General features: G+C 45.3%; 1 annotated feature.

Moving 5' to 3' along the window:
• Nucleotides 567-816: an enhancer, noted in NCBI's record as "active region_12710". NCBI's record gives its function as "activates an Ori minimal core promoter by ATAC-STARR-seq in GM12878 lymphoblastoid cells {active_cell/tissue: GM12878}" and the evidence as "EXISTENCE:reporter gene assay evidence [ECO:0000049][PMID:35858748]".

Genomic DNA, 8,104 nt, shown 5'->3' on the forward strand with positions numbered 1-8,104 from the left:
TTTTATTATTTTGATCTCTTCATTAAATTTATGTGATAGGATTCTGAATTCCTTCTCTGAGTTATCTTGGATTTCACTGAGCTTCCTCAAAACAGCTATTTTGAATTCTCTGTCTGAAAGGTCCCTGTTTCTCCAGGATTGGTCCCTGGTGCCTTATTTGGTTGTTTGCTGAGGACATGTTTTCCTGAATTGTCTGACTGGCCCTGTGGCCTGAGTCACATTTCAGCTGAAGTCCCAGGCTGCTGCCAACACCTCCATGGCCTGGCAGTCTTCCACTGGAGTTCAAGTTACACTGCTCACCAGAGAATCACACGCATTCAGTGTGTGGACTCCATCCTCACAATCAGATGCTCAGTGTCCAAAATGCTGGGTAAGAAACATCCTGAAGAACACAAATCTGAGATACAGCCTCTTCCAGGCCTGCTCCAAGGCTCCAGACCAATGCATGAAGCACAGCCTGAGTCCACGTGCCTGAGGGAACAGACCTCCAAAGCCTACATTGGGAGCTTCCACCTGGCAAGGAAGGTGTGCTAAGGGCAGAGCTTCCGGCCTCCCTGTTATCTCAAATGTGGACCTATCACTGGGGCCCTAGTACTGGGCCCAATACTTGCCTCCACCCTTTGTCAATGCGAACATCCTTCCTCCTGGGGACAGAGATTTAGAGGTTGACTTTAGAAAAAGCCACTCTCTATAGATATTTTGAAGCAGCAAGTCCCCCCAGCTTCAAATTTTGTGCTGGCTGAGGCAGCCCAGCCTGGTTGGTGACTAGAATGGCCTGAACTGGGAGTCATGGAAACTGACTCAGAGTCATGGAAAGTTGGGGCTGAAAGGGGAAGAAGAGGTCATGCACCATCCGTCTTGCAGCTATAAAAACTAAGGTTTAGGTTGGTGAGGGGGTGTACCCGAAGGATGACTCAAAGGGTACTTCACGGGTAAAGGAACTCAGCTCAAATAAGGTGACTCAAGTCTATTTACAGCCTTGTCCAGTGTGGACTCAAGAATAGCCTGGCCTACCACCCTGAGCTGTCAGGGAGGACAGATGAGATGGACATTGTGAAAATGGGGTACTGCCAGCCTTTAAAATGCGGCGAGTGCACAAGTCACGCAGTGCTGTTATCAACTCATGATATAAGTTCCTCTTCCCTCCCCCGACTGCCTGTGTTGAGTCTCAAATTCATCCCACTGCAGGGAGGTCAGAAAAAGTTCAGAACTTCTTTCTGACCTCCCTCTTGTGGGATTTAATGAGGACATGAAGTGGTGACATTGAGGTGGGAGTTAAGGAGAATGTGCTGGGCTTGGGGCCCAGCAGATGGACATATGTTACCTGTGCCCCTGGGGATGATTCTACCTTCTAAAATGGGCCATGGAAACCTGGTTTCATGTGGTTGGGTCAATCCCCCCAGTGCTTCTGAGGTTGATGAGTTAAACGATGCAAAGGCCATGGTTGGGAGATCTCCTCTTGGGATACGACTTTGGTGAATTTACCTGGGTCTGGTCCTCATTCCTGCAAATCTAGAACCCGACCACCATCCAGACAAGAAGAGAGACTGAGACCCTACAATAACTCAAGTGATTTATTTTGGGGACACTCCTTTCCAGGAAGCTGAATGCTTGTGACCCTCATCTGTTTTTCTGATTTCAGCTGCCTGGGAGGTTGCCTGAGCAGGCAGGAGGCAGCTCATGGGCATGGACTTGAACTGATGCCTCGAATGGCCTGCCTGGCCTTTGTCTTTCTTTATGTTCCATTACCAAATATTCTGCTCCTGGAATCACAGCCTTTGTTTTTATTTATTTATTTATTTATTTATTTATTTATTATTTTAAATGTTTTATAGAGATGGGGGGTCTTGCCAGTACAGGCTGGTCTCAAATTCCTGGGCTCAAGCAAACATCCTGCCTCAGCCTCCCAAAATGCTGGGATTACACAACAATGCCCTAAAATAAGACTTTCAGGTGAAGCTTATGCATGTCTTTCCTGCTTGGTGAGTAGGGTATGATTAGAGTTGGATTTTTCCATCCCATATTCACTCTACAGAATCAATTTAGTGTTCTGCTTATCTATGGGACATTGATGTCATGTGATGGGTGATGTCATGTGATGGGTGATGTCATGTGATGGGTGATGTCATGTGATGTGTGATGTCATGTGATGGGTGATGTCATGTGATGCATGATGTCATGTGATGGGTGATGTCATGTGATGGGTGATGCCATGTGATGGGTTATGTCATGTGATGGGTGATGCCATGTGACAGGTGGTCATGTGACAAGGTGATCCTGTGATGAGTGGTCATGTGATGGGTGATGTCATGTGATGGGTGATGGGATGGGCGATGTCATGTGATGGGTGATCATGTGACAGGTGATGTCATGTGATGGGTGGTCATGTGATGGGTGATATGTAATGGGTGATGTCATGTGGGGGTGGTCATGTGATAGGTGATGTCATGTGATCGACGATCATGTGATGGGTGATGTCATGTGATGGGTGATGTCATGTGATGGGTGATCATGTGACAAGTGATCATGTGATGGGTGATGTCATATCATGGGTGATGTCATGTGACAGGTGATCATGTGACAGGTGATCATGTGATGGGTGATGTCATGTGATGGGTGATGCCATGTGACATGTGGTCATGTGACAGGTGATGTCATGTGATGGGTGATCATGTGATGAGTGATGTCATGTGATGGGTGATGTCATGTGATAGGTGATCATGTGATGAGTGATGTCATGTGACAGGGATGTCATGTGATGGGTGATCATGTGATGGGTGCTGTCATGTAATGGGTGGTCATGTGATGGGTGATGTCATGTGATGGGTGATGTGATGGGCAATCATGTGATGGGTGATGTGATGGTGATCATGTGACAGGTGATGTCATGTGATGGGTGGTCATGTGATGGGTGATATCATGTAATGGGTGATGTCATGCGGGGGTGGTCATGTGATAGGTGATGTCATGTGATGGGTGATCATGTGATGGGTGATGTCACGTGATGGGTGATATCACATGATGGGCGACATCACGTGATGGGCGATCATATGATGGGTGATGTCATGTGATGGGCAATATCACGTGATGGGCGACATCACGTGATGGGCAATCATGTGATGGGTGATGTCACATCATGGGTGATCATGTGATGGGTGATTGATGTCATATGATTCCAGGGGGAGCACCTGTTCACCAAGCAGGGGAGAGGCTGTGAGTTCTCTGCCACGCTGGTAACACAATCTCTACTGGGGCTTCCTAGTGCTGACTGCTGCAGGTGGCTCATCATAGCACACCAAGGGCCACCACAGGGACACATTACCAAAGGAAACCCCAGAAGACACAAAACATCCCCTTCTTCCTCCATAAACTTGGGAGCCAGATGTTGGGTGACATCGTTCACCATCTCTGGCTGCTCTGGCCTTGCTGGAACCCCCTGTTTTCTCTTTCTCCTCTTGCATCATGATAAATGGCCGATCATTAATGGATGAAAAGTGGTGTCTCTGACACAAAGGCTCAACGAGGCGTCTCTGTCAAAGGGTCACACTAGATTCTATATCCACACACAGGAGACCTCTGGACTGGGGACCCTGAGCAGTGCCTTGGAGAATTCTGCAGCTTCCTGCTCTCAGGCCTGTGGCCCCATCTCTCCTTGATTGATGCCCCCAAGGATGCCCTGAGGTTAGAACACTCCCTCCGTGGGTGTGTTCTTGAGGCCACCCAAAGTGGGGAGCTGTGTCTGAGACTCCACTTACGGCCAGAATACTCAAAGGCGTTATCTCCCAGGTAAAATGGTGGACCAGAAACTACCTGCTTGTGAGTAAGTAAGGAAGGAGAGCCAAGGTAAAGCCATTAGCATTTGCAGACCAGTTGTTCCCTGACAAACATAGATTTAGAACAGAAATTGGCAGCTAAATAAAGTTTAGTACTTGTATTACTCAGGGTTCTCTAGAGGGACAGAACTAATAGGAGATATATATATATATATGAAGGGGAGTTTATTAGGAAAATGAACTCACACAATCACAAGGTAAAGTCCCACAATAGGCTGTTTGCAAGCTGAGGAGCCAGGAAGCCAGTCCAAGTACCAAAACCTCAAAGGTACGGAAGCTGACAGAGCAACCTTCAGTCTGTAGCTGAAAGCCCAAGAGCCCCTGGCAAATCACTGGTGTAAGTCCAAGAGTCCAGAAGCTGAAGAACTTGGAGTCCGATGTTCAAGGGCAGGAAGCATTTACCATGGGAGAAAGGTGGAGGCTGGAAGACTTAGCCAATCTAGTCTTTCATGTTCTTCTGCCTACTTTTATTCTGGCCACACTGGCAGCTGATTGGATGGTGCCCACCCGGATTGAGGGTGGGTCTGCCTTTCCCATTCCACTGACTCAAACGTTAATCTCCTTTGACAATACCCTCACAGACACACCCAGGAACAATACTTTGCATCCTTCAATCTGATCAAGTTGACATTCAGTATTAACCATCAAAGTACTTTTTTTTTTTTTGGCCAGTGGTACAGTTGCCTGGGTTAGTACTGAGACAAAAGGATGATGGTGGGGGATGCTGGCTTGCACAGGACTTCAGCTGTGAGGAGCCTGTGTCCTCGCGGAGGCTTCTGTTTGCAGAAAGAAAGTTGCCATGGCCCTGGAGGAGATGGAGCTGAGAAGCTGAGGAGGGGGAGAAAGGGTCAAGTTCCTGATGCTGCAGCCCACAGAGACCCCTCCAACCTGCCTCAGGAGAGGGTGTGAGGGCAGGAGCTTGTTGTGTTCACAAAGATGGAGGCACAGTGGTCTAGAAAGACCCAGGAGGAGGCTCAGAATGGAGCGGGGTCCAGCAAGACTTCTGCAACAGGCGTTTTTGTCTCCTCCTACCCAACTCCACTCCAGGATGGAGCCATCACCAGGTCTGGCCATCCACCCTTCCAAATGTGAATCAGGGGAGGATAGTCCCAGCTGGAAGCTGGTCCCAATCACCTTGTCAGTAATTAAGCTAGGGGTGGTCACCAGAGTCTGAAGCAGCCAATGAGACATTGAGGGGATGTGATGGGGGTGGGGACTCTGGGAAACTTCTGGGATCAGTGGTCTGGTTTTCTTCCTCAGAAGTCCTTGTGTCTGGTGTCTGGGCTGATCTCTCTCTGCTGCCTACTTCAGAGATCTCTCTCTGCTGCCTTAGGATGAAGACAGTTCTGAGGCCATGACCACAGAGCAAGAAGGAACTTGTATCAACCAATTCCAAGGACACCACCAAGGCCAAACAAACAAACCAAAAGCCCCAAATCAGCAATTAACAGTGAAACAAGAGAGGAAGCAGTGGCTGCCATGATCAGTGGCTGACCTTACAGAGAGGCTAGTATTTAGGGGATGAACTGCAGGGCTTGGGGGAGCAATAGGCTTAGACCACCCAAAATGGGCGCTGTGTCTGAGACTCCACTTAACGATCAGAATACTCAAAGGCACTACCTCCCAGATAAAATCTTGGACTAGAAACTACCTACTTGCGAGTAAGGGAAATGATTTTTTAAAAAAATAGTAATAATTGAAAAACTGGAAATTCATATGCAAAAGAATGACACTGGAGCCTTCCCTAATAACATAGACAAAAATTAACTCAAATGGATCAAAGACCTAAATGTAGGATCTAAAACCATAAAACTCTTAGAAGAAAACACAAGGCAAAAGTTTCACAGCATTGGATTTGCCAGTGATTTCATAGACATGATGCTGAGGGGACAGGCAACAACAACAACAACACAGACAAATGGAACTTCATGAAAATTTAAATTATGTGTTTTTGACTCATATCTTTTTTTTTTTAAGAGATGGGGGTTTTGCTATGCTGCCCAGGCTGAAATGCAGTGGCTATTTACTGGCATGATCATGGCGCACCACAGCCTCAAACTCCTGAGTCCAAGTGATCCTCTCACCTCTGCCTCCTGAGTAGCCAGGATTACAGGTGCAAACCACCATGTCTGGCTAAAATTTCAAAATTTGTGCACCAAATGACAATATCAACAGAGTAAAAAGGCAACTCACACAATGGGATAAAATATTTGCAAATTACATATCTGATAAGGAATTATATCCCAAATATAGACAGAACTCCTAAAACAATAAAAAAAAAAAAGGCCCGATTAAATGGGCAAAGGACTTGACATTTCTCCAGAAGAAATCTACAAATAGCCAATAAATACATGAAAAGATGCTCAACACCACTCATTATCAGGAAAATGCAAATCAAAACCACAATGGGATATCACTTCACACCTGTTAGAATAGCCATTGTGTGTGTGTATATATGTGTGTATAAAAACATGTATAAAACAACAGAAACAACAAATGCTGGTGAGAATGTGTATATATATATGTATAGAAACAACATGTATAAAACAACAGAAAACAACAAATGCTGGTGAGAATGTGGAGACACTAGAACCCTTGTGCACTATTGGTGGGGAGGTAAAATGGTGTAGCTGCTATTATGGGAAATAGTATTGAGGTTACTCAAAAAATTAAAAATAGAACTATCATATGATCCAGAAGTCCCACTTCTGGGTATTTATCCAGAAAAACTGAAAACAGGATTGCAAAGTGCTATCTGCATGCCTATGTTCATTGGAAGCAGCATTATTCACAATAACCAAGAGATGGAAACAGCCTAAACGTCCATCAATGGATGAATGGATAAAGAAAGTGTGATATGTACATACAATGTGATGCGGTTTGGCTCTGTGTCCCCACCCAAATCTCATCGTGTAGCTCCCATAATTCCCACATGTTGTAGGAGGGACCTGGTGGGAGATGACTGAATCATGAGGGCAGGGCTTCCCCGTGCTGTTCTGGTGGTAGTGAATGGGTCTCATGAGATCTGATGGTTTTATAAACGGGAGTCTCCCTGCAGAAGCTCTCTCTCTTTGCCTGCTGCCATCCATGTAAGATGTGACTTGCTCCTCCTTGCCTTCCACCATGATTGTAAGGCCTCCCCAGCCATGTGGAACTGTAAGTCCAATAAACCTCTTTCTTTTGTAAATTGCCCAGTCTTGGGTATGTGTTTATCGGCAGTGTGAAAACAGGCTAATACACAATGGAATAATATTTTAGTGGGGGATGAGAACAAAATATTTTATAGTGTGCTTGAAAGTAGGCTGAGAACACAGTTTTTTCTTCTATTTATTTTCTTTTAAAAATTATTACTATTTTTAATTGACACATAATCAGACATTTATGGGGCACATTGTGATATTTTGATACATGTATATAATGTGTAATGATCAAATAAGGGTAATCAGCATATCCATCACCTCACTTTTGTGTTGGAAACATTCAAAATCTACTCTTCTAGCTATTTGAAAATATACAATAAGTTGTTGACAATTATAGACATCCCCTAGTGCTATAGCACACGAGGATTTATTCTGCCTATGCAGCTGTACTTTTGTATCTGTTAACAAATCTCTGGCTATCCCCTAACCCCCAACACACTGCCCCACCTCTAATAACCACTGTTCTATTCTCTATGTCTTGAGATCAACTTGAGAACATGCAGTATTTCTCTTTCTGGGCCTGACTTATTTCATTCACATAACGTCCTCCAAGCTCATCCATGTTGCCACAAATGATAGAATTTTGTTCTTTTTTTTTTTTTTAAACGGTGTCTTGCTCTGTCGCCAGGCTGAAGTGCAGTGGCAGGATCTTGGCTCACTGCAACCTCCACCTCCTGGGTTCAAGCGATTCTCCTGCCTCAGCCTCCTGAGTAGCTGGGACTACAGGCACACACTAACAGGCCCAGCTAATTTTTGCATTTTTAGTAGAGACAGGGTTTCACCATGTTGGCCAGGATGGTCTTGATCTCTTGATCTCGTGATCCGCCTGCCTCGGCCTCCCAAAGTGCTGGGATTACAGGCGTGAGCCACCGCGCCCAGTCGAATTTTGTTCTTTCTTACATCTAAACAGTATTCCATTATGTATATGTGCCACGTATTCTTTATCTTACAATGGAATATAATTTTATTCAGCCTTAACAAAGAAGGAAATCCTGCCGTATTCAACAACATGGATGCATCTTGAGGACATTATGCTAACTAAAATAAGACAGTCACAGGTTAAAGGCTGCA

This window comes from Homo sapiens, chromosome 17 (genome assembly GCF_000001405.40).
Source record: "Homo sapiens chromosome 17, GRCh38.p14 Primary Assembly".
Classification (NCBI taxonomy): domain Eukaryota; kingdom Metazoa; phylum Chordata; class Mammalia; order Primates; family Hominidae; genus Homo; species Homo sapiens.